Genomic DNA, 27425 nt, shown 5'->3' on the forward strand with positions numbered 1-27425 from the left:
CCCAGAATGCTGGGATTACAGGAGTGAGCCACCATGCCCAGCCCTGAATAATGTTCTTTTTGCACTAGAGAAACGTGCATTCTGCTCTTGCTGGGTAGAATGTTCTGTATATGTCTGTTAGGTCCATTTGGTCTGCGGTGTAGTTAAAAGCTGCATTTCTTTGTTGACTTTCTGCCTAGTTGTTCTATTCTTATTGAAAATGGGTAGTGAAGTCTCTTAGTATCATTGTATTGTTGTTCAATTCTTCCCTTCAGTACTGTCACTGTTTGCTTTATGTTTAGGTGCTTTGATATTGGTTGCATATACGTTTGCAACTGTTAACATCTTTCTCAAGGAGTGACCCTTTTATTATATAATGTCGCCTAATTTTTTTTTTTTTTACTTAAACTATATTTTGTCTGATATAAGTATAGCCACTACTATTATCTCTTGGTTACAGTTAGCAAGAATTATCCGTTCTCACCTCATCACTTTCAGCCTGTGTGATTTTTAGATCTAAAGTAAATCTGTTACAGAGAGGAGAAAGTTGGATATTCCTTTTTTTCCTTCCATTAAGCTACTCTATGTCTTTTGATGGAAGGAGTTTAATATATCTATGTTGAAGGTAATTATTTAAAGGGAAGGATTTATTATTGCTTTTTTGTTTTCTGTTTGTCTCATAGTTCTTTTGTTCCTCTTGTCCTCTCTTGCTGTCTTCCCTTGTGATTGTTTTTTGTTTACATATTTTTGTATTCCTTTCACCTTATCTTTTGGGTAACATTTACACAGGTATTTTCATGAGGCTACCATGTAGCTAATGTAAAACACATTATAGCAGTCTATTTTAAACTGAAATGGCTTGACTTAGTCATATACAAATACTATACACTTTAACTTCTTCCTCCCCATACATAATTTGTTATTCATGTGACAATTTAAGCTCTTTATATTGCTTATCTGTTAACATATTTTCATTTATACTTAGTTGTAATAATTTTTCCTTGTAACTTTTATACTAGAATTAAAAAATAATATGTACTTCATTGTGACGGTAATGGAGTATTCTGTATGTCAATATATTTACCTTTACCAGCAAGCTTTATATGTTTTTATGCGCTTCTGTTGCTGATTAGCATCTTTTCTTTTCAAGATGAGAATTCCCCTTTAATATTTCTTTTAATGAAGGTCTAGTAGTGATGAACTTGCTCAATTTTTGGGGATAGGGGCTGGGAAAGTCTTTGTTTTCTTTAATTTTTGAAGGATATTTTTTACTAGTTATAGAATTCCTCATTGACAATTTTTTTTTTCTTTCAGCAATTTGACGTACGACATTCTAATCCCTTCTGGACTGCAAGGTTTCTGCAGAAAAATTTCATGATGGTATTATCAAGGTTCCCTTATACATCACAAGTCACTTTTCTCATGCTGCTTTAAAAATTCTCTCTTTGTTTTTCACAATTTGATTACAATGTGTCTTGGTGTGTGAACCTAAGGTGTAAATTTCCTTGGGTTTATTTTACTTGGAATCCTTTAGGATTCTTAAGGCTGAATGTCCATCTCCTACACAGATTTACAAAGTTTTCAGCTGTTATTTCTTTTAGTAAGCTTTCTGGTGCTTATCTCTCTTCTCCTGCTGGTATTTCCATATGCATATATTGGTCTGCTTGAGAGTGTCCCATAACTCTTTTAAGCTATTTTTATTCTTTTTCATTCTTCTCTGTTTTTGCTCTTCTGTCTGTACAATATCATATGACCTATCTTTAAGTTCACTTAGTCTTTTATTTCTGCTTGCTGTAGTTTGCTGTTAAATCCTCTATTGAATTTTTTTAGTTGAGTATTGTATTCTTTAGCTCTAAGATTTCTGTTGGTTTCTTTTTACATTTGGTTTCTTTTTACATTTTCTATTTCTTTGAAAGAATTCTTACTTTATTTGTGCATTATTTTCCTGAGCTGGTTGAGCATTTTTATGATGGTTATTTTGAATTATCTGTCAGATACTTAATATACATCCATTTCATAAGAATCAATTTCTGGAGATTTATCTTGTCCCTTTGGATCTTATTTCTCTCATTCTTCATGTTTTCCTCTTTGTGTTGGTACCTACATTTAAAACAAACAAACAAACAAACAAACAAAAAACCTGCCACGTCTCCCAGTATTTGTGTATTGGCCTATTATAGGCCAAGACCTTCACCAATCTTCCTGACCGCTCAAATCTTTGTGGTAGTTTGAACCATTGTCTTTATTGCTAGCAGCCCTCAAGCATCTAAAGTATGCCAGATCCTGTTAGCATGGCAAGACAGGTGGGGCAGAAGTTAATTCCTTAAGGAGCTACCAGCAAAGTTGGAACACTGTATGGTTTGACTCTTTTCCTCTCCAGAGAGAAACTGGTAACTGGAGTTATTTGCACACTAGTTCTGTGTTTAGCCAAGGGGTAGAGCTATACTGAGTGCCTACTCACTATTTCAAGACAACATTTTGTTCTCCATAGCCATCAGCAGATACCATATGCCAAATACTGTTAGCTCTCTGGGACCAGCAAGATTGAAGACAGTCTCTCAGGTAACATGCCGAAAATTTGGGATACCAAATGTGCATTCCAACCCCTTTGCTTCTCAAGAAGAAGCTGGGAGCAGGGCTTCCATCTTGATCATATGGATTTGTGCTGGGTATGGGTATTATGGCAAGAGGTATCTCCACTGCTTCTACCAGTTGTGAAGTGGCTGGTTTCTCACTTGCCTAGGGTACAGGAGTCTCCAAGCTTGTTTCTAACTTTCTCATAAAAATAATTGATTAATGTACTGCTGTTGAGTCAGTGTGTCTGTCAGGGAAGAAGAGTTCAGAGCTTCCTATCCTGACATCTTGCTGAAATCACTTCTAGAGTATATATTTTTAATCATGTCTGAACATCTGGTAAAAACAAATATCCACAAACATTATTATTACTTCATTTTTTCCAAGAGAGTATATGTTTATTATCTAACAAATCATAACTTAGTCAAAAACATAACTTGTAAAATTGTTTTTGTCTACACTGTTTACATTAAGTGCTTCCATATTTACTAATAATATATAGTTACCTGCTTTTTCTTATTTTTTTCTCCTGCCTAAATAATAAATGCAGATAAAATGATCCATTTAGAATAGCAACAACTAAACAGAAAAATTGATAAATTTTATGAATAGAATAATTTATTTACAAAAGCACAGATGACAGTGACTAATACATATATGGAAAAAAGACTTTAGTAATTAAAGAAATGCAATTCAGCTCATTGAAATTTTCAACATTTAATATTCACAAAATGATATTCAAATAAGCAAAAAAGCAGATAAATGAATCATCTCAACATTGCTAACAAGAGTATAATTTTGCTCTATTTATAAAATTATTTTGGGAATAAGTACAGTTCTCTTTTATAATACAAGCTATATTTTTTAAAAAGTATGGCCAGGCGCAGTGGATCACACCCGTAATCTTAGCACTTTGGAAGGCCAAGGCAGGCAAATAACCTGAGGTCAGGAGTTCAAGACCAGCCTGACCAATACAGTGAAACCAGGTCTGTACTAAAAATACAAAAATTAGCCAGGCATGGTGGCTGGTGCCTGTAGTCCCAGCTACTCGGGAGGCTGAGACAGGAGAATTGCTTGAACCCAGGAGGAAGAGGTTGCAGTGAGCCGAGATCTTGCCACTGCACTCCAGCCTGGGCGACAGAGTGAGACTCCGTCTCAAAAAACAAACAAACAAACAAACAAAAATTATTAGAAAAAACTCTGATGCAGCCGGGCGCAGTGGCTCACGTGTATAATCCCAGCACTTTGGGAGGCCGAGGCACGCAGATCACGAGGTCAGGAGATCGAGACCATCCTGGCTAACACGGTGAAACCCTGTCTCTACTAAAAATATAAAAAATTAGCCGGGCGTGGTTGCAGGCGTCTGTAGTCCCAGCTACTCCGGAGGCTGAGGCAGGAGGATGGCCTGAACCCAGGAGCAGAGCTTGCAGTGAGCCGAGACTGTGCCACTGCACTCCAGCCTGGGCAACAGAGCGAGACTCCGTGTCAAAAAAAAATAAAAAGAAAAAAAGAAGAAACTCTGATGCAAAACAGCAAATGAGTAAAAATGGTTATCAATGAGAAAGTTTAGGACTTTTTAGTTTCTAACCATTTTCTCCCAAGTGAAACTATTACTTTTATAATAAAATATAGCAGTTATTTTTCTTCCAGGAATTTCAACAATAAATGTAGTGTTACACTTTGTATTTCTTGCTATAAGTCTAAGCATCACTGAGCAAAGCCAGAGTTTAATAATATTATGCTTTTTATCCAAAACTGTTTTTTCCTATTACCACTGGCATTAATATTGGAAGGGCAGGTAATATCCATTCTTAACATTTTAATAGCCTTTATTCCACATGATTATAATCTACAATATCTCTTGTTCAAGCAATAGTTTTTAAAAGCATTAGTTACTGATGGTTACTAAATCTAAGCCATATTTAACATTTTAATAGCCTTTATTCCACATGATTATCATCTACAATATCTCTTGTTCAAGCAATAGTTTTTAAAAGCATTAGTTACTGATGGTTACTAAATCTAAGCCATATTTATGCCATTAAAAATTGTGCAAGATGCATAGTATATTAATCAATTTTATGTTCACTTTATTGTGATAATTTGTTGTATAAGAGAAAGCCTGTTTTAAATTTTTAATGTTGTTAATATATTTGGATTCAATGGTTTCATTTCTAAGTATTTATTTCAAAGACATAGTCAAATATATGCACAGAAAGTTTATTATAGTTTTTAATTAGTATATTTAAAATATTTTTGTGAGCAAATTTTTCTTATGTTGACATGGGGAAAATATAAATAAATAAATCTTTAAGAGGATACTGGTTAAAGTTATGTGTTATGCAATAATATATACTACCATAGAGTCAATAAACTTCATTTTATATGAGAATATCTTTGACATAATAAATGTTTGCAACATATTAAAAAGTAAACATTGTTTCAAAATACAGAAATAATTCACACATTGCTTCTCAGGCGTTTGGCCAAAATCAGGCACAGCAATAACATACTTTTATAACACAAATTTATTTGCATATTTGTTGCTTTTTATATCAAAAGATATTTAGAGACAGATATATAAAAAGCATGAGATAATATATATCAAAATGCCAGGAAAACGGTAATTTTAAATTAACTAATAAGTATGGAAAATATTATTTTCTTGTGTTTTTCTGACTTTTTCAAATGTTTTACATTACATATATATTATTTTAGCTATTAGAAATATATAGATAGAGGCCAGGTATGGTGGCTCAGGCCTGTAATCCCAGCAATTTGGGAGGCCGAGGCAGGTGGATCACCTAAGGTCAGGAGTTTGAAACCAGCCTAGCCAAACTGGTGAAACCCTGTCTCTACTATAAATACAAAAATTAGCCGGGCTTGGTGGTGCACACTTGTAATCCTAGCTAGTCGGGAGGCTGAGACAGGAGAATTGCTTGAACCCAGGAGGGGGACGTTTCAGTGAGTGGAGATTGTGCCACTACATTCCAGCCTGGGCAACAGAGTGAGACTCAGTCTCAAAAAAAGAAAAAAAAAAGAGAGAAAAGAAACATATAGATAGTGTATACACTTTTTTTTTTTTGAGACGGAATCTCGCTGTCGCCCAGGCTGGAGTGCAGTGGGACTACAGGCGCCCGCCACCTCGCCTGGCTAATTTTTTGTATTTTTAGTAGAGACGGGGTTTCACCATGTTAGCCAGGATGGTCTCGATCTCCTGACCTCGTGATCTGCCCGCCTCGGCCTCCCAAAGTGCTGGGATTACAGGCATGAGCCACTGAGATAGTGTATACACTTTTAACAATTAAAAAATATTTTATATATAAATACATATTTATATATACAATTTGGCAATGTACCCCATCAAAAAAGTTAAAAAGCAAACACTCCATTCAGGATTAAGCCATTATATAATTTTAGTTTAAATCTTCTAACTCATTTCTTTCCTTATTTTTTGTTATTTTTATTGAAATTTTAACATTTTGGTTTTTCTTTTTTGTTGACAACCTAACCTCTCCTCATATTAATGAAGATCTTTCATCAATTAGGTTTTTCTAGCCTCAGATATTCTTTGTAGGTTTCTACTTTTCTTGCTTTTCTTTCCACTCTTTGAAAATAATTCACACTCATTCTTTAGGTTACTGTTTAAATATCTGCTCCTCAGGGTAACTTATGACAGATCTTCAAAATAAATCAGAATCATGCATTATAGTTCCCTTAACTTTCTTATATAGCATTCATAATATTTAATGTTTGTGTCTATTCATGCAGTCATTTTATTTCTATATGGCTACTACTAGACACTTTATTTTATATTTTAATTTATTAACTCATTCAATCTTTCAACAGCAACAACAAAAAGGAGCTTCTGCTAAGTTCTAGGCAGCATTGAAGGAACCTATCTTTCAGTACATAAAGCTGATAGTGTTCTTAAACTCATGGAGAGTACATTCCAAGATGGAAAAGAAAATAATATATTTCTACAACTGTGGTTAGTAGTAAGTTCCCTCCGGAAAAATGAAGCAGGGTAAGGAGATGAAGACCGATTAGGAAGACAGGGTTCTTTTATTTTAGAGAATGAGGAAAGATTACAGTGAGACTAATGACATCAAAGCAAAAATCAGAATGAAATGGAGTATGCTATGCAATGATATGTGGGAAAAGAGATCCAAGCTGAGGGAATTGCACTTGCAATTGATGAAAGAACATAGTTGGAAAATTGTAAGAACTAGAAGCATGTCAGTGTCACAAGACCAGAGTGAGTCACTAAGGGTGATGTAAGATGAGGTCAGAGAAATAGAAAAGGGCCAGATCATGTAAGGTTTATGCTGGACGTGGTTAGGAATTTGGATTTTTAGTTTGAATGTGATGGGAAGTCTTTGGAAGATTTTGCAGATGGAAATGAAATGATCTCCATTTTACTTATTAAAAGTTTATTCTAGCCTGGCATGGTAATTTATGCCTTTAATCCCAGCAACTTGAAAGGTAAAGGCAGGAGGACTGCTTGAGGCCAGGAGTTCTAGACCAGCCTGGAGAGCATAGCAAAACCCCAGCTGTACAGAAAAATAAAAAGAAAAATTAGCCGTGTATGGCACACACCTGTCATTCTAGCTATTCAGAGGCTGAGGCAGGAGGATTGCTTGAGCCCAAGAGTCCAAGGCTGCAGTGAGCAATGATCACTCACCACTTCACTGAACCTGGGCAACAGAGCAAGATCCTGTCTCTTAAAAAAATTAAAAAGATTATTCAAGCTTTTATACAGAAAACAAACATTTGGAGAGTAATAGTAGAAACAGAGGCCACCTAGATGACTATTTTAGTTGCCCAAGTAAGAGGTGTTTCTGCACCAATACAGCCTATCTCCTCTTACCATACATAAATGTCCTCAAGATTCAACTCTGTATCTGCTGAATACACAAATACTAGAGAAAAATGAATTAATATATATAAAATCTATGACTAGTTTTTATTTTTATAGTTTTCAAGAACTTAGGCCAGCAGTCTAACAAAGGACTACACAATTTTGCCAAAGCTCAGCTATTGACCATTTTTATTCTCAATGTCACCTAGTATAGAAATCTATTAGAAATAACATAAAGCCATTGACAGTTTTTATGATGTTTGCGTGCCCTGTGACTCAATGTACAGGAATCATTACTAGGCTAAAGTCTAAGAACTCAATATAGATCTTGAAAATCTTACAAAACTGCACCTAAAATCTCCCAGGATAGTCAGAATCCAAATGAAGAATCTCAAGATGAATCAGGTAATAATTCCCAAAATGCAAATCAGTGATCCCATTCTCACTTTTCCCCAAGGCTTTGTATTTTTCTTCTACCTCAGTAGCTTGTCCTCATTTTGTTTGTTTGCCTCACTTTTCTTATTTAACATGGTAAAACATATAAACATATTTTTATATAATAATGGTATAGTTTTTCTGGCTCCATCTACCTCATTGACAATTTAGTCTGCTCTATAACTATGGATAGTCAGAGAGTTAATAGACAATGACACCAGTTTGAAATGTGTTCTTTAACATTTAATTGACAAAATTGAAACTACTTTGGAGAAAATTAGCTCCTTTACTTATATATGACTTTGTTTTTCAAATAATTCCTTTACATGATTACCAGCGTTAAAATGTAGATTTTATTTGGACTGGGAAACTGTGCACACAATGCATGGATATTTCAAAACAATAATATTTTCATAGATTTTGAATTTCCACAACTTAATGCCTTAGGAAAAGAACAAAGGGCTAAACTATGAGAATTCAGTATCAATAATGATGTCCTATGGGTCCTTCATAACTCTTATTTTGATAGTTTTTCAACCTAATGATTTTATAGCCAGGCTCCATGGAAAAGACTGTTGGACTCTAATTTATTCTATTCTTTTTTGGGCAGATGATAGTAGCACATTTTGGGAAATATTTCTTTAAACTATAACTCTTATTTGGCCCAGGTTATGCAGAGGTGGAAAGATTTTCTACTCAAATAATGTCTGCTTTAGAATACTTGACCTCCAAATGAAAATGTTAATCCTCCAGCTCAGCTGACTTTTAAACCATGTATCTGAATTAAGAGTAGATTTGCTGTTTGTAATTCAGTTCCTTTTGGGGGTGACCACCTCAAATTTGCTGCCACTAGTAACATGCAATCAAAAAATAAATAAAATGTACAGAGGACTCCTGAAATGTCCATATACCACTTTATGTGGTTGAATATTTTTCACTGAACAAAGTCAGAATATCAGCATATTTCTATGACTGTATATTTCTATTTATCTTATTAATGCTTTTATATAGCAAGGCCACACTGGAGACACTATAAAAAATATAGTGAAGTTCCTATTTATTGTAGAAACATTTTTAATAAAGTCTTATGATAAAATCTCATTCTGAACTCAGATTTAGAAAGATATGTACTTCTAAGCAGTGTCTAGATTTTTATCTTATATTTGGCATGACTCATTACTGCTCTTATATTTCTTTTGTCTTATGACATAGAAAACATTGAGGCAACAGTGTCTTGCCATTTGTCAGGCCCACAGATAAGACCACCCAGCATGCACTTCAAGCACTTAGCTTGAAACCCTCAGTTTCATTTTGTTTTGCTACTGAGGCGTTTTCAAGGTACTTTTGGCAGCTATCAATAACCTCTGGGAGTTAGAGGTGAGCAAGGCCTTGGGAAAAAATATCCAGCTGTAGAGCAAAGATTTATTCTCCCTTTCCATAGAACAGTTACTGTATATGTCCTGTCCTCTTGAATCTGCTGGGCTATGTGAGCACATTTGGGCCAATGACCTGTAAGCCGAAGTGTGCAACTTTTAAGCCTAAACTCAAATGATTCCCCAACCCTCTTTCTTCTTCTTAGCACCAATTGTGTATTGAAACTCTGGGTGACATTTGAGAGTGACACATTGAAGATGGCAGGTTTTCCGCCATATTGGCCCCTTCAGTAACAGCGTTGAACATAGTATTTCTCTCCACCCTCCCTACTGCCACCAACTGGAATTTTCTTGAGCAAATATAAACCACTGAAGTTTTAGAGCAAATGTTTTTCATCAGTTACAGGTACCTTAACTAAAACCAAAATTTGCATCTTAAATAAGGATACAATCCTCATTAACCAAATAAGATGAAATTAAGGGTAAGCTAAGTGCTTGAAGTGAATGTTTAGTGGTCTTATCTGTATGCCTGATAAATGGCAAGACATTGTTGCCTCAATGCTTTCTGTGTCAAAAAAACAAAAGGAATATAAGAATAGTAATGAGTCACACCAAATGTAAGATAAAAACATATACATTACTTAGAAGTATATCTCTTTCTAAATTTGAGTTCAGAATGAGATTGTATTCCTATTCCCAAACACTGTCTCATGTTATCAACTGGAAAATATTTTGTGAAACTGAATGAGGTAACTTGAGGAGCAGACTATATGTGAGCTAAGTCTATAGATCTGTTAGATTAGATTGTAAAACAGAAAGTTAATAATGTTTGTTGATTGTTATTGGTAGCATTTAGCAAAATGTTTGAAAAAGGAATTCACTTGAGGAGATCGGATGGTTTTTCAAGCCAAACTAAATTAAAAAAAAAAAATTTAGAGTCTTCCAAAATGGGAAAGTATCATATTAAGTAATTCTCATCTCCAATGGGTAAGTAATAAATCAAATAATGGTAAGGATGTGGAGCAAGAGGAACTTTTATTCATTGCTGGTGAGAAAGAAAAATGCTATAGCCACTTTGGAAGACAATATGGAAGCTCCTTACACAACTAGATGTGCTCATGCCATATGATCCAGCAATTTCACTCCATGGTATTTACTCAAAGGAGTTGAAAACTTATGTTCACACAACAACCTGTACTTAAATGTTTATACCATATTTATTCATAATTGTCAAAACCTGGAAGCAGCCAAGATGTCCATTACTAGGTGAATAGATAAATAAACTATGGCACATAAAGAAAACAGAATATTTTTCAACAATAAAAAAATGAGCTATAGATTTCTGGGAAGACATGGAGAAAACTTAAATGCATAGTACTCAGTGAAAGAAGTCAATCAGAAAAGGCTATATACTGTAGTATTCCAAACATATGTCATTCTGGAAAAGTCAAATCTTCTTAGATAGGAAAATAATCAGTAATTGCCAGAATTTAGGTCAGAAGAGGGAAAGATAGGCAGAGCAGAGAGGATTTTTAGGTCAGTAAACATATTCTTATATAATACTGTAATAACGAATAAATGTTAGTATACATTTGTCCAAACCCATAATATATACAACACTGGCAGTGAACCCTAATGAAAACTATTGTTTTGGAGTAAAAATGATGTGGCAATGTAGGTTCTATCAATTGGGACAATAGAGGACTCTGTTAGGAATATTGATAATGAGGGAGGCTATGTATGTTTGGGGGCAGTGGATATGTGGGAAATCTCTGTAACTTCTCAATTTTACTGTGAACCTGAAACTTTTCTAAAAAATGAAGTCTATTACAACACACATGTACATTCACACACACACACACACACACACACACACACACAGAGATTAAGTTATAAGTATTAAATGTCTGATCTACAAGGCTCAGTAAGTCTTAGGGCAAAAATTTAAAATGTGGTTTTCCCACCTATTATTTTAGAGAATCACAAAATAGCCACCAGTCATATCTCAATAACTGAGATATTGTGGTAGGGAAATAATGGAGTGAATAGCTTTGAGAATTATGCCTCAGAAAGAACCTTCTAAGTTATGCTGGCTCATGAATTTAATAGAAAGAAAATTGATAAAAATCCTACTAAATGTTTGAAGAAATTATACTATAAAATATATCTTATAAAACCATTTGATTAATAATTTTTGAAAGAAATTTTGGCCACCTGTACTTGCAGAAATGGAAGGAGAACTAGAGGGATTTCAGAATTGTTTCCTCTTGAGAACAGAAAGAGAAATAGACATTGGAAGGAGAGACTACAAAGACAGATCAGAGGGGCATCTCAGAGCAGAGACATATATCTTTCCACCAGAGACTTTGCTTGCCTTTATGGTATGTAGTATTGTCCAGCATGGAATATTTTCTGTTCTTGATTCTATGTGGGTTCGAACGTCTATATTCTAATTAATAGAAAATAGACTAAATTGATCTAAGTCTAGCTGCTGAAAGACTTCTGCACAATGTGTCACACCTCTTCTTTGATGTTGGTATCATGATGGAAACTCCATTGCCCTTGATTACAAATAAAGCTCTGTTGTGTTTACACACTGGAATTTGCAGGTTTATTTATTATAGCAGTTATCATTACCTTCTATGACGCTGAAACCATAACCTTATTACCAGATGATATCTTATGATAAAGGTCAATTTTAGACCAAATTCTGCCAATGGTACAATATTTATTAGCAAGAAAGTAGTACATAAGCCACCATATCACTTGTTCCTATAACACATTATTCAGCATTTTGACAAATACCTTGGATAAAATTTGACTAGAGGCCAACAAAACAATATTCTTGTTGACAAATCAGCCAATACTCTAGTTAAGTCTGCAGAGTTCTGTGTGAGGTGGGGCAGCACAGAAATGAACAATGCATCAGAGAGAGAGAACTGGCTGCTCCTGCTTTATTCTTATAGCTCAATTATAGGTACAAGGCTGTCTATAAAATGTTTCTATCCAAACATGAATCTTGAACACCACTAATTTCACCAGTGATTTGTGGTGTCATAGATGTCATCACTTATGTTAATTTTAGTGCAAAACAGAATTTAGTCAATATACTTTGCAATTCTGAGGGTGAATATTTCTGATTACAGTAACTATAATGCTAACAATATATACTAATTGTGGATTCATAATGAGTATATGTCAAATTCTAGTTATTCTGTAGGATCTATGGTTTTGTGATTAAGATACTTTAATGCTCTTTAAACATCAGAAGAAGTGAAGATTAAATTTAACCTACATAAATAAATAATTTATATTGAAATGCTTTAAGGAGATATTTCATTTAACTATATACATAGACAAATGTATGAAGTCATAAATATACAACACAAAGTGTACACCCCAAACTAATCAGCACACAGAATAAGATAAAGAACATTTTTTGTGTCCCAGAAGTCCCTCTCATGTACACTCCAGCCCCTACTCCCTCACTTGAGGATAATGACTATTATAATTTCTAACCTTGTGTACTAGCACTTGTTTTAATCAGTGTGTATATTTTTATGTGTAGTTTTCTTTGCCCAACATTATGTTTCTAGGATTCATCCATGCAGTTCATGGAGTTATAGGTTGGTCCATTCTCATTGCTGAATAATATTCTATTTTATAAAAATGTGTTGATATTTTTATCTGCTCTACTATTGATGGACATTTAGGTTTTTTCCATTTTATAATATTACAAATATGCTGTTAAGAACGTTCTAGTATGTGTCTTTATTACTGTTGGCTATATAACTAAAGGTAGAAGTGCTGGATAATAAAGCATGAATATGTTTAATTTTAGTGAATATAATCAATAGTTTCCAAATTGGTTATACCAGTTCACACTCCTACTACCAGTATCTGAAAAAAAATTGCCGCCCCTTATCAATAAAAAAATTGGCATTGTCTCAATTTCTAATGAACTACATGATGGTCGCATATTTTCTTTCAATTAGCATTTCCATGATGACTAAAAGCTGAACACTTGTCAGCTGTTTTATGACTAGCATTATTATTAAAAAACTAATAAAGAAATCTATCAAATTTCAATCAGCTTTGACCACACAAGATAAAATTTTCATAAACCTTTCCATACTCTTTCTCCAACTTTCTGTATTCACTTAGTTTTATCTGTCACTCCCTTTTTATTTTTTTAATTTAAAAACTTTAAACTAGATAAAATTACTTTTCCTTTAACAGAAAAATTTTATGCCTGCCTTATAATATTTTGTACCAAAAACACAACGTATTTTCCATACACATTTCAAACACAGAAATGTTTCTCTTATATTTAGAAGTTTTAACTGTATATATTACTTACAGTGTTAACTCTTAGTAACCTTAATTTTCAGTGCAAAACATAGGAAGGAAGTAATTTTAAGTGTTATGTATTAGATGCATAGCCCAGGAAGGACAGAGCTTTGAAGGCAATGCCTGGAAAATCTGACCCGTTCCCGCATTGCCAAGAGGCACAGCTGGGCCAGGGAGGAGGATGGGGCTAAGGCAGTGTAGACACACGTATATCCTCAGGCCTTACCATGGCTACTTGACTAGACTTTAGACTCTGAAGGCTCGAGACCAAAGACATAAGTTCATAGACAAATCAAGCAAGTATCACCAATTCACAGAAGCAAGTTTTATAACCTTAAAACGTCTAGCAGAGATAGTATAAATTTGTCTAACTAGTAGACCCAAGCAAAATTTCTCCAATTCTGAAAATATTTTTATTTTGTTTCACCAACAATTTTAACACTCATTTTATTTACCAAAGACTACTAAACTCACATGAACTTGCAAAACATTTAGGCTTACTTACTTAACTTATGAGTGACTATTTATTTGTAAGGCAATTTTATACTATGTAGACAATATACAAATACAGATATGTAGACAGGTATACATAAAAATAGAGACGGATACAAATATCTTATAGCTTTGATTTTAAAATTTTAGCTGTAAAATAGGGAAAGCTCACTAGCTTAAAAGGACATTTGTATTAAATTGTGCCTCTGTAAATATAGTAAGTTTATCTGTCCTACATGACTGAAGCACTTAACGAGTTTTGGAGAAAATAGTGTAGCAAATTTACATCTCAAAGAGAAGGGAGAATTTAAGCTTTTTCAAGAAGGAGTTTAGGTTTGTTAGAGGAAGACTAAGAATAATTGCCAAAGTAATACAAATCATAAGAATTCACCACAGGTTTGTATAAGGAGATCAGTTTCATTTGGATAGGTAGCTTCTCATTTTGGCTCTTTTTCTCAATTAGACCACTGAGTTCAGGATGAACCCATTAATAAATAGGACCAATAAAATATTTGCAGTTTTCAGGGCCTAACATTTAAATATGTAAAAAGTAGGTATAGCTGGAAGACAGAACATCTAGATTTTCAAAAATCAAGATTCCAACCTTTTTTTTTTTTTGAGACAGAGTCTCACTCTGTCGCCCAGGCTGGAGGGCAGTGGTGCGATCTTGGCTCACTGCAACCTCTGCCTCCTGGGTTCAAGCAATTCTCCTGCCTCAGCCTCCCGAGTAGCTGGGATTACAGACACCCGCCACCACGCATGGCTAAATTTTTGTATTTTTAGTAGAGACAGGGTTTCACCATCTTGGCCAGGCTGGTCTTGAACTCCTGACCTCGTGATCACCCACCTTGGCCTCCCAAAGTGCTGGGATTACAGGCGTGAGCCACCATGCCCGGCCTCTTTCAACTTTTACACTGAATCCCAGGTGCCCAAAAGGAGATAAATGCCATGGGAGTGGCTGTGCAATGCTTCCACAGTGCACCTAACCACCTGGGCATTTTCCTGATGATGGTGGATGATACAATGCCAATCAGCCCACTCTGTGATCAGACTTCCCTCATGGGAGTCTTATCACTTGGTAGCAAGTGTTCCCATAGCCTCCAGATATTTAAGCCACACGTTTCTTATCTCCAAGCCCAAAGAAATAAGTAGCCCCTTGCAGTCACAACCATCCACTGCACTGTCAGTCATCTCAGAAACTATATAACCTTATAACCTTCTCTAGTAACTTGCCAGCTATTACACACCCAAAGATCCTGTTCTCTCACAGTATTAAGTAATCCCTGGTACTCTCCAAAGTCAAAGAGATCACATAGTTTAATGTGAAAGAGAGCAAAGCTTTAGACCTGACAGAAAACTGCCCATGTCTCTTCAGACTCCAAAAGTAATCCAAAATATCCCAAAAAGAGTGTGTTCAATGCTTTTTTCTGTGTTCCTGAAGGGTCTCAGCGGTTCTAGATAACTCTTCTAGATGTCTTTACATGATATTGAAGATGGCAAAGAGGAAGGAGGAGCAGAAGTAAAGGCGAGTACAAATCTTAGAGGAGCCATTTTCAGAAGACTATAGGTTTTCCAAAGGGGTCAAGGAAGTGTTGCATTTTTTCTTCAGCAAAATTGTACCGACAAGGAAGAAAATGAACAGAGGGACCAAACACATAATTAAAAAGTGTCACAATTGACTGAAAAAAATTTCCCAAAATCAGGATCCAAAAGAGAAAAAAAAAATAATAAAGAATTTTTTTTCAAAAAAAATGATTATAACCTGACATTGTCAGCTTTTAGTTAAGCTGACTTCTGGCCATACAGCTATTAAAAAAATCTTTGCGAATCTCTTATCAGATTTCAATCAGGACAAACAGCCAATATTGCTGCCTTTTAAACTGTTTCTTTCTTTCTTTTAAATCAAAGATACCTTTCTAAGTGACTTACCAAAGCCAATAAGCCTTTAACCAAGGTTATGACTTAAACAAGGACATACTAGATATCTCCAAAGAGATGCAGAGCAGTGCTTGCAAGATTTATAACGACCCCAAAACAGCTTAAAGAAACGAATGTTTCCATAGTCTCTAGAATCTCAGCTTCTTAGCCAACCATCTACAAACAAAAGCCCAAAATTCCCATATGGCCCAAATATGAAAGAAGTCAAAAGCTGGCCATGAAAGAGAAAAGTTATCAATAACTAATGGGTACCCCCCCAGGAATTCAAGAGTCACACAAATAATTTCCAATGGTGTACTTATTCCAGGAGGGACCCAATTCCATAAACCTGTTCATGGAAAGCCCAGCAGGTAATTTTTCATGTTTAGAATAACTTTTTATCTTAGCAAGAGGTATTATCTGGATAGAGAATAGAAGAGGCAGTTCCAGTGATCCTCTCCGTCAAAAAACTCACTCTCAGGAGTAGATTAAAATAGCAAAATACTCTTGTTGTCACAGACAGTTAAGGATAATGTTTGAGCACACAGTGCCTTTGTTATCCCACAAATGTGTGAAGGGTCGCCAGTCACAGACATGTTAATCTATGACACCAGATAGGCTCTCCTGGGATTGGAGCTTCTCAGGACTAACCAGGCAACAAAGGGGTTGAGATGACGAAAGTCCTATAGGGATGAGACTTTTCATTAAGACAAATTTCCCTGACAGCCTGACACCTTTGGAACAAACAGTATGCTGCCTAAAATTTTATGTGCCTCGGGGTTTCCAGCCATTTCAGACTGGCCACCAGAAGTAATCTGAAAATTATATCCCTCAGATGGTAGAGACCAGGAGAGAGTGCTTCAATTTGGTCATAAGTCAAGCTCTTAAAGACATGAAACAAGACAGAAGGTAACCTCATCCGGTTATATTTTGGGAACCCATAGTAAAGTTTATAGACACTTGTCTGATCAGAATCTCAAAACTGACTGGTCTGCAAAACCAACTTGAATGTCAGGTTTGTAGAAGTTTTAGGCCCTTGTTCTACTCTGTGCTACCCCTCTTTATGACAGAAAACACAGACAAGGGAAAATACTATTTCTGGCAGAAAAGGGATCAAACAGTATGACGATTCAGATCAAAAAGTATATCAGGGTTGCTATACCCAAAACTAGTCACATGAATTCTCTTCTCAAAAACTAGTCACATGAATTCTCTTCTCCCATTAATCAAAATTTAGCAAAGAGAGACAGTGATATTTACCTTCTGCATGACTGGATTCCGCAGACAGAGAGGCTGAAAGCCTGGCTGGTAAGAATCTCTTACCTGCTCACTTGTCAGGTCCTGGGTTCCCTTTACTGTGGCTTCCTGAAGAGCAGAGCGTCTTTGGTAGGCTGCTGGTTGTGCCAAAACCGTAGGGGCCAAGGGAACACTTCCCCTTCACCCACTTTAGTTTCCCTGAAAAATCAACTCACAAAAAAGAGATTAATAAAAGACATACAAATTAATTAATGTGAATGGGGGAAAATCACAGAGCAATTACTCCACTGTGCAATAGGGTACAGATGGCTTATATCCACTTCTTTTTAGGAGGAAGAGAGATGGGGAAGTGCAAATTATTTCAAGGGAGTAGTAAATTATATTTAGGGGACTCAATGGGCTTGGATGCACAGTGGCCTGGGACAAAGTCTGTTGGACGCACATAACAGACAATGGTTTGTGACAATAGTCTGTCCAGGTGTGTTGACAGATTTGTCTTTCTTCATGCAATATGAGTTCAGTTATTAAAAGCTCAAGGAAGGAACCAGAGGTGATTATTCTCTTCTTTTGTGTGTTCATACTTTGGGCAGATAAGGGAACTCAGAGAACAACTTTATCTCGTGCTTTGGAGGGATAGAGGGTTAAGAGAAGGTGGGGTAAAGTGTGTGGGAGGGGGAAGGTCAAAGAGACCACGAGAGGCTTCTTCAGTTCAGCAATTCAAAAGTGCCCTGTTTTTGGGGTGTCAGTTTCTGAGCCTCAGCCCAACAATGTATTGTTAACTACAGGCACTATGTTGTATAACAGATCTTTAGAATTTACTCATCTAGCATAACTTAAATTTTATACTTATTTACCCCTCAATTCCAGCCCCTGGCAACCGCTATTTCTATGAATTTTACTACTATAAATACCTCATATGTGGGGGAAAGGTGGCCTGAGTTTGAGGCTCATCAAGTTTTCTATTTGGTTCCTTTATTTGGTTATTCTATTTCTATTTGGTTACTCCAGCTCTGCCAGTTTATCTCTGGACTTGCCCATTTTCATGCCATCTGAATTCTTACTCTTTTGGTCAGGCATGAAATCCACACCTACACCCCACAGAATTGGCTGTAATCACCCTGCCATCTCTATTACTCTTCTGTAATAAAATTTTAAGTCTTCTAGTCTTTGGTATACTTTAGTTTTCTGTTGCCATTAAATAGATAATTTATGTACATTTTCTGACTTTCTAAAAATTTTTGGTGAAATAATAATTCTAAAACAAGCTGTTCCAGGTTCTCCTCAAAGACTTCATTGAGGTGCTTTTGGTTTCATCCACACAGAAAAATGAAATGCCTAATCTACTTATTTTGCAACTAATTTCCTCACATACATGGTTATCTATCTGTATGTTGTGTCATATTATGAAAGCACATTGAAAAAATATAAACTATATATATATAAACTATGTCATTCTAAAATGTTGCCTACTCTCCTTCCTTAGAAAGTAGTTTTAAAAATTAACCTTCTTTTAATGATTCATAAATTTGTAGTATTGGATGCCTCTCTCTCCTCTCTCTATCAAATATATGGACAGTGCTATTTTTCAGTTGTAGGTTAGTGCTAATTGTTTGCAACTAAGAGTAATTTGACTAGGATTCTAGATCTGTGCTTTTTTTTTTTTTTCTGTTTGTTTTAGAGACAGGGTCTCACTCTGTTGCCCAGGCTGAAGTGCAGTGGCACGATCTCGACTGACTGTGGACTTGACCCTCCATGCTCAAGCGATCCTATTGCCTCAACCTCCCGAGTATCTGGGACCACAGGAATGCACCACCATGCCCTGCTAGTTTTTCATTTTTTGTAGAGACAGGGTCTCATTATATTGCCCAGGCTGATCTTAAATCCTGGGGTCAAGTGATCCTCCCACCTCGGCCTCCCAAAGTGCTGGGACTACAGGTGTGAGCCACTGTACCTGGCCAGGTCTGTTTTTTAAGGGCTAGGTGATATTAGCAAAATCCCTCTGCTCACAGGGTGTCAGTTTCCCTGTTGCTAAAATGAGGTAGGTGACGTATTTAAAATTAAATGGTAAGTCCTATATAGCTACGAAATTGGTATTAGGTATTAGGATTAATTAATTAGGATTCATTAATTAATCTGGTATTAGGATTAATCCATGCTGAATTTAACATACAGCATATAATTAATTTTTATTTGTTTTTAATAGGTTTTTGCCATCTAGATAACACCTTTTTATGTTAAATATACTTTCTTCTCATGAAATATCAAAGGAAAAAATACTTTGATTATTGAAGTTTCTTCTTATTACTAATTATAGTTACCATGCTTACTGTGCAACAGCACTGTGCTTATATCTTTCAGAAGAGACTATCTTATGTTGTTTCTTTTTCTCCCTCTGTCTGTCTCTACCTCTATCTCTCTGCAGCTTTGGAGTCTACAATAAGCTTCATCGAATTTATTTAATTTTTAAATTTTATTTTTAAGAGACACTACCATCTCATATTGAAGCTTCACATTAGGTTCAGTTTGTCCTTCAAAACTGGATTAGAGAGCATTGCCAACACATATGGTAACTTCTGGAACTCTAAAATTTCATGGTCTTCCACAGTCAAATGTTTATTTCTCGCTCATGCCACATGTCCAGTGAAGGTTGGCTATAACTCTGCTATGCTTCACCTTCACTCTGGTCTGCGTTTGTTAAGAGTATTATCAATCATGTAGAAGAGAGAAAAGGCATATAGTAGAAACCACATAATGCATCTCAAAACTTCTGCCCACAGGTGCTACACATGAAACTTGTAACCAGTTACTACAGGCGAAAGCAAATCCATGTCTTCAGGCTGGTGTCATCAGGGAGAGAAGGTAAATCCTCCTTAAGTAGGGGCAACGAATATTTGCAAAAATAAGATACAGCCTAACACAACGTACTTAAATATATTATTTACATAAACTTTAATTCAGGACTAACAGTAGGTGATACTTTCTTAATTCTGGGGGAAACAAAGCTATGACCATAGATGTAAAGCTGTCAAATTCAAAAGGCCTGGATTTGAATGCAGATGCAGACTTATGGTTGTCAAAGAATATATTCTTAACTTCTACTCATTTGGTCAAATTTTTATGAATTGATTGTATTCTTTTATTGTGATCTCCTAAAAATAAATAAGAATGAGCTAAATGAAAATAAGGACAATGATTTTTTTTTTCTTTTTCAAAAACTGGGATTGCCATTGCCCTGTTGGAAACTATGTTCTATATGGCTCCTAAGCTTTTAAAACATTTGTTTTTTTTATTTTCATGGAAACTTTTTCATGGTGATTCTATTTTTAAATTCTAATATTGCTGTTTAATTTTTTTGACCAAGGAGGTAGAGGAGCAATGAGTCAAAGTCAAAGAAGTAGAGTAAGGAGAAAAGGAGGGGCAAGCATAGCACTTTTCATCCCACAGAAATTGGGAATTTAACAGCTGATTAGCTGTTAGAGTGTCTTACAGGTTCCCTTGTGTTTTACATTTCTTTTAGCTCAATTAATGACTCACTCTGCCTTTTAATCTGCCCTCCTTAGATTATTAACACAGTAGCCTTGTTAATCTAAGGGAAATTGCAAGGAGGCGGGTGTTAAATACTATTGGCCAGTATCTTTCCCATATTAGAATGCTTAATCATGTCTTGCTGATTCATATTTAGACCTTTCTGTATTTAACCTGGTTCTATAGTTGATATATGACACAGCTTCTAAATTTTCATTATTCTGGAATTTATTGAATAATGTTTGAAATTGTTTTTGAAAAAGATTATTTTTTAGGTTCCACAGACAAAGCATAAAATTAAAATATGTTTCATATTCCTTCAGCTTTGGTTTCCACATAAGGATATAAGATCATTGATGTAAAACAAGTGAGTTTCACTTTATACCCAGGTAATATGATCTAGCATTTATTAAAGAAAGAAAAGTATAGTCAATATTGGTTGCTGCTGCTCCATTATTGCATTAGGTTATTTGCTACTTTTTCTAAACTCCTCTAGTCTCACAATTTCATTGTTATTAATCCAGGAAAACAAGAATTTAAGACTTTCTGTTTTTCTCTTTCTCTCTCCTCTCTTTCTCTCTCTTTTCTTCCTCTACCTCTAGCTCTCTGGCTTTGGAAGCTATAATAAGTTCCACTCAGTTAATTTTTTTTAATTATTTTTCTGAGGCACTGCAAACTTGTATTCAGAGGTTCCACATTAGATTTAGTTTGTCCTTCAAAACTGGATTAGAGAGAGATGTGAACACATATGGTAACTCCTGGAACAGTTCATAGTTTGAACAACCTACAGGAAACCACGAAAGCCACATTTCCTGTCAGTATTGTAAAGCCAAAATCTGTGTTTGGAAATGAACTTGAGCATGTGCTTAAAATCTGTGCAGAAACCCATTTAGTGATCTTATGCAGTTTTAGAGGTGACGTATCTCGAATGACATTCAAATAAAAGCTACCAAAACCTTGATTGCATCTTAATAAGTGAAAGTAATTTCAAGTTTTATTTTGTGTTTTTTAAATGGATACTATTTTTACAATTTTTAAACGCCACTCCAAATCAGAGTTAAGTTCAATTGCTTGTCTCTCCTTGCTTTGCCTATGAGTTCCATTTATGTTTTTTCTCCAAAAGACAAGATGTAAAATTTTTGTCCTTAAAATAGTTTCCAGTTTTTCATGTTCATTCTGTGAAAAAAGTGTGCAATATGTTTACGTAAATAATGTTTCAGCCATCCCTGGTATTAGATATGAGTGGTGAAATAAACCAGTAACAAGCTAAATAAATTTTTAAATATCTTCAGTATATGAGTGCTGTATGTGAATAGGTCGTTTGATCTTTTAGAAAGAACAGAGTTGATAAGAAACACTATAGCAAATTTCCAAAGCCTGAAAGCTCCTGGCTGTTAACAATTGGCACTTCAAAGATTCTTTGACAGCAAAGATGGTGACAGCTAAGAGTGTATCATGAGGAGAGTTTATAGTAAACAAATGTTGCCTTTGATGCAAATTTGGGTTTCTAAAAACATTAGTTATTACTGAATGGATTTTCAAAGGCTGCTCTACAAAGCCTGCTGGAGAAATTGCTCTGTGGCATTACTCCAAGCTTGTGTTTATGTATGAAAAATGGGACTTTTTCATTTTCAAATGGAGGATTATAGTTATAGGTATCTTCCATGTATATTATGTTCAGTAAGGATTATGTGTCAATTTAGCCCAGAGAATAAGCTGTTATGCGATGACTGATGTTTGAGAAGATTCTTTCAACTTTGGATAGGCTACTCATCTCTAGCTTTTATCATCCCAGGGCTCACCTATTCAGCAGAATTCTTTCCCTCTATACTCTCTTAGTCTACAGCTTCACCTGAGAAACTTGTGTAGCTGTATATCCGAGTGTGCGTTCCTACCATTATTATTTTTCTCCAATATAGAGTTTTCTCATCTTTCTCTTCTTATTCAGTTAAATTTTGAACTTAATAGAATTCTTCCAAACTTAGTCTCCTCTTCTCTTTCACACTTAGAATATATAGTATTAGATAGGAAAGTTGATTCTGCAGTGTCTACTCGCCATGAAGCTAAATTGGATAGAAGCCAGTCTAAGGCCAACATTAATTTATTCAACAATACAAACCTTTCCTTCAATTTTATGGAAAAAGATTATTTTGTTTGCCAGTGTTTATACATATAGATTAAATGTGCCACCAGGTGTAAAAAGGGAAGCACTACACTAGGTTCTTAGAAATCGCAAGGCAGTTGTCAAGCCTTCTTGTTCTCTTACTGTTTTACAGCTCTGTTTATAAAACTTCATGGCTGAATTGGCAGGAAGAAAACAACCACAGATAAATTATCCACCTAAAGGATTAACATTCATTAATATAGATAACAGTGTCAAATTTAAGAGTATTAGGTGGCAATTGTGGTGAAGTGGTTTTAATGACTAAAGATACAATGAGGATAATTTAAAAGGCTTTTGAAAGAAATGTCAACCCAACACTCTAATGAGGGTGAATTTTTTAAAGAATGATGAGACTGTTTACATTCAGCAGACATCTTGTTCTTCACATAGACCAAAATACAAATGAGACAAGTTAGTGGTGGATGAGAAATAGAGATAAATTATTAATATCTCTGTCATCCTGAACCATTGGGCTGTTCTTCTTATCTACCGTCTGACATTAGGTGTGTTTACAGTAAACCCAACCATTTTTGCTTTAGTGTATAACAATTTATTTTTATTATTTGCTGAGATGCTTACACATATATGCACATATTTTTGCTTGATACAGAAATATCAGTTTACTTTATATAAGTTGCATATTGTGATACAGAGATGAATCAGGTATAAGTGAATACATTTCTCAACAAATTTATGTTTATGTTTAAAAAACAAACAAAACGATACATTTAAACATCAAAACAGTAAAATGAAGAAATTGTATTATAGCTATGTTAGACAACAGATTAGTATTTATATATTATTCAGTATAGATATAAGTTGGTACAATGAGCCCTATCCTCTCAATATATGCTTTAGGCAAAAACACAATAAATAGTTAATGTAAGAAGAAATCAGGATGTGTAATCAATACATCTATAAAGGTTCACTGCCACTAATAATCAAATAGTTGTAAATTAAAACAAGTTATATTTTTTGTTTTTCGACTTTGCAAAAATTGGAAACAAATTATAAATAATAAGAGACCATAACAAAGATACTTTTTCTTTTTTTTTTTTTTTGGGACGGAGCCTCACTGTCACCCAGGATGGAGTGCAGTGGCACGATCTTGGCTCACTGCAACCTCCGCCTCCTGAGTTCAAGTGATTCTACTGCCTCAGCCTCCCGAATAGCTGGGATTATAGGTGCCCACCACCACGGCCAGCTAATTTTTGTATTTTTTTAGTAGAGACAGGGTTTCTTTCACCATGTTGGCCAGGCTAGTCCTGAACTCCTGACCTCAGATGATCTGCTCACCTTGGCCTCCCAAAGTGTGGGAATTACAGGCATGAGCCACCACACCTGGCCAAACAATGCTATTCCTAATAATAAAAACTTTAAAAATTATATTTAAATTATATTTTAAACTGACGTTTTAAAATAATGAATTTATCAGTCAACATTTGGTCAGGAAAACAGTTTATAACTAAAATGAATTGGCTAACATGCACAAGACATCATAATTAACGTTTCAGGACATTATAATATTACTTTTGGACTTGTCTTTGCTCTAGAGGTGTAAAATAAGACATTTATATTATCAGTTCTGCTTTGATGAACTAGTTTTCACTTTCACCACTGGTATGTTAAAAACATTTTCTCACAAAGATATTCATTTCAATGAGTTAAAAGAAACATTTATTGGGTTTGGGGAAGCAAAGCAATGTGTGAACATGAAGAATTGGGGTCAGAAAAGTGAGGGGACCAGAATTTAGTTAGATAGACAGGAACCAGAAAAATTCATATCACATAGAAATCAGAGCAAAATATGTCCCAAGAGCATGCGGGGCATCAGCAGGAAATGAGAAATAGGTGAAGTCAAGTAGAAGAATAAGCCCTCGGCACACATAAATAAGGAAAGGCATCACAACTGAGGCCATTTTCTATTGCAGTCTTGCTGAACTTTAAGCTTCTTGAGAGCAAGGACCATCTTTTATTCCAATACGTAGTAGAATGGCTGGAAGAAATGTGTTCAAAAGTAGAACTGAAATAATGGACTCTACCCTTTAACCTTGAGGCGGCCTATTCTGGAGTTTTCAGCCACTTAATATCAAGAGCAATTGCCAAACCAAAATAAATAATAATTTTACAGTTATAATTTATTCTAATGAAAGGCAGAAAAATATTTTATTTATTCTATACAAAAAGGTAGATATCTTGGATTGAAAATGTCAAAATAAAAAGTTTTGTGCTTTGACTTCACTTTGAATTACATCTTTTTTGTGATACTTGGTATGCAATATTATGTGCATTTATTTATGTTTGTCTCCCCTACTACAGAGTAAGCTTCTTGTCCTGGAACATATATTCCTCTTTACATTCTCAGCACCAGGTTGTACTGATAGTTTCCATTACTTTTAATTGATCTGAAATTTTCCCCTTTTGAACAACCATTCATTTCCCTTCTCCATCTCATGCTTTAGGCTGAATCAACTTTATACTTGACTCAAAGAGCAGACCTGTGCTCTAGGCCTGAATAATATGATTCTTTTCAGAAATGAGTCTATAACTCCAAAGTAGACTTCACCAGTGAAAATCAATCCTTGAGATGATTGCTACAGTTCTTAAATAAGAAGCATTCTTTTCTTTTGAACTCCAAACTGTAAGAATGATGTAAGCAGTACTTACACAATATAAAGAGATCTTGCTCAATAATGAAAGAAATAGAAGAGAGAGTAAGTGAAAAGCTGAAGTGGAAGAGAGAGAAAGAGAAAGAGATGGAGAGACTTGATGGTACCGAGCCCTTAGAACTCTCTCTGAAATCTAACCCTATTTTCTCAGGGTTACATAGGCCAATACATTTCTTTTTTGTACTTGAGTTTGTTTGAATTAGATATCTGTCACCCACAAGTGAGAGAGTGATCAAAATTTTCTAGTGGAAACTAAGATCAATTGTAAGCATATTATTGGTAAATTCGGGAAAATTTGAATGTAGACTGTATTTGATAAAATTTTATATAAATGTTCATGTCCTATGGTATAATAATAATAGTGAGGCTATATAAAACAATAGCTTTGAGAAATACATTCTAAAATATTTAGAGGTTCAGCATCATAAAATCTTCAACTTTTAAAAGGATTATCAAAATAAAGTATATATTTTTATATAGAGACAAAACGAACATTTAAAACATTTAAAAATTAGTGAATCTAAGTGTTGACTGTATATGTGTTCATTGACTATTCTATTAACTTTTCAGTAGGTCTAACATTTCTCAAATATAATTCGGGGGGAGGGAACCCAAAAAGCAAAAATTATTGAGTACCACAATTGCTTCATAATAGATGTTCCACAAAGCACCTTTCCCCCCAATTTTTGCTAAACTTTGTAAGCTCCTTTATTCACTTGAAGTAATCAAAATAGTTAAATCAACAATACAATGCTTTTATTCCCACCATGTTTTATGCACAGAAGTCAAATTGTGTAATACTTTATTTGGGAATGAAAGTGAGTTATGTATCTAGATAACAGAAAGGACCAACTTATCAAGTTAGACTCACGTGAATCAGAGATCTTACCCAGAACTAACCTTCCCTAATCATTTCAAGGATACAAATAACTACCACATGCAAAATAAAGAGAGGCTTGAGAGTATCATCACATCTCCGTGAGTCTTTTATTGTCACATTAGGACATGCTCTGTCCAGAACAATATCTTAGGATTCTAAGTGATGTATGTGGCTGGATTACATACACAAAATGGAGACGTTTCATTCCTGAAATATCTTTATTTTATACTCAGTTACATAGCTCACATGACATTTTCCAGGGAGCCATGCCTATACATCTTCCTATTCTGTGCTTGCTTACCATACGCAATCTTAGACAAACCTAGGGCATTCCATAGATAGTCTCTGTTAGTAAGTATCATTATATGTTTGCCAAGAAGTCTGTTGCTAGCAGTTAGCATGTTTACAAGGAGGTTTCAGCAAATCACCTTTCTTTTTTCTTTCCCCAGGACATGTAACCTCTCAAATTGAGAGAATGGATTGGAGAGATATTGTTGACCATGTTTTCCCCTGTATCTCACCTTCCCCTCTCCAAGACTTCCTTGTCAGTTACCCATATTGATATCAGTTTATCCACATCCATGCTTTCAAGTTTAAACAAAGAAACTAGGCAAAGGCAGCTATGTATTCGCTAGGATTAGGGAGGAGAAGATAATGAACCACTGGATAGTGAGAAGAAAGAGAGGTGGAGAAAGTGAGAGACCCCAGTAACAGAGGACAGGGACACATTGCTAAGGATAGGGACACATTCACTGTAATATAGAAGGCCATGCTTATATGTAAAATATGCAGTAATTGTATATATATGTACAAAAGTGATGACACACATATGCACATAAACAAAACACAATTACTGTCTATGTTTCTTTATTTGTGACCTAATGTTTTATGTTGTTTGTAACTGAAAAAAAAATTCCCTTCTGAATAAAATGTCAATTTTGCGATTGCA

The 27425-nt window shown here is 35.0% G+C and overlaps 1 protein-coding gene across 11 annotated transcripts in view; it reads left to right on the forward strand.

Moving 5' to 3' along the window:
- Positions 1–27425, forward strand: part of LOC124903233 (uncharacterized) — a 46627-nt gene extending 19202 nt beyond the window's left edge. For 7 of the 11 annotated variants that reach the window (XR_007063916.1, XR_007063910.1, XR_007063917.1 and 4 more), the window contains 3 exons: positions 20016–20097; positions 21087–21130; positions 26926–27425. Coding sequence is in view for 2 of the 11 variants with exons in the window: in XM_047430847.1 (XP_047286803.1) it covers positions 20016–20097; positions 21087–21111 (107 nt within the window). In the remaining 9 variants the exon portion in view is untranslated. Of the gene's footprint in view, positions 1–11448; positions 11604–20015; positions 20098–21086; positions 21153–26925 lie in introns of those variants that run through there. The other 4 variants (XR_007063912.1, XR_007063913.1, XM_047430848.1 and 1 more) reach the window with 2 other exon arrangements.

Source organism: Homo sapiens, chromosome 13 (assembly GCF_000001405.40).
Source record: "Homo sapiens chromosome 13, GRCh38.p14 Primary Assembly".
Lineage (NCBI taxonomy): Eukaryota > Metazoa > Chordata > Mammalia > Primates > Hominidae > Homo > Homo sapiens.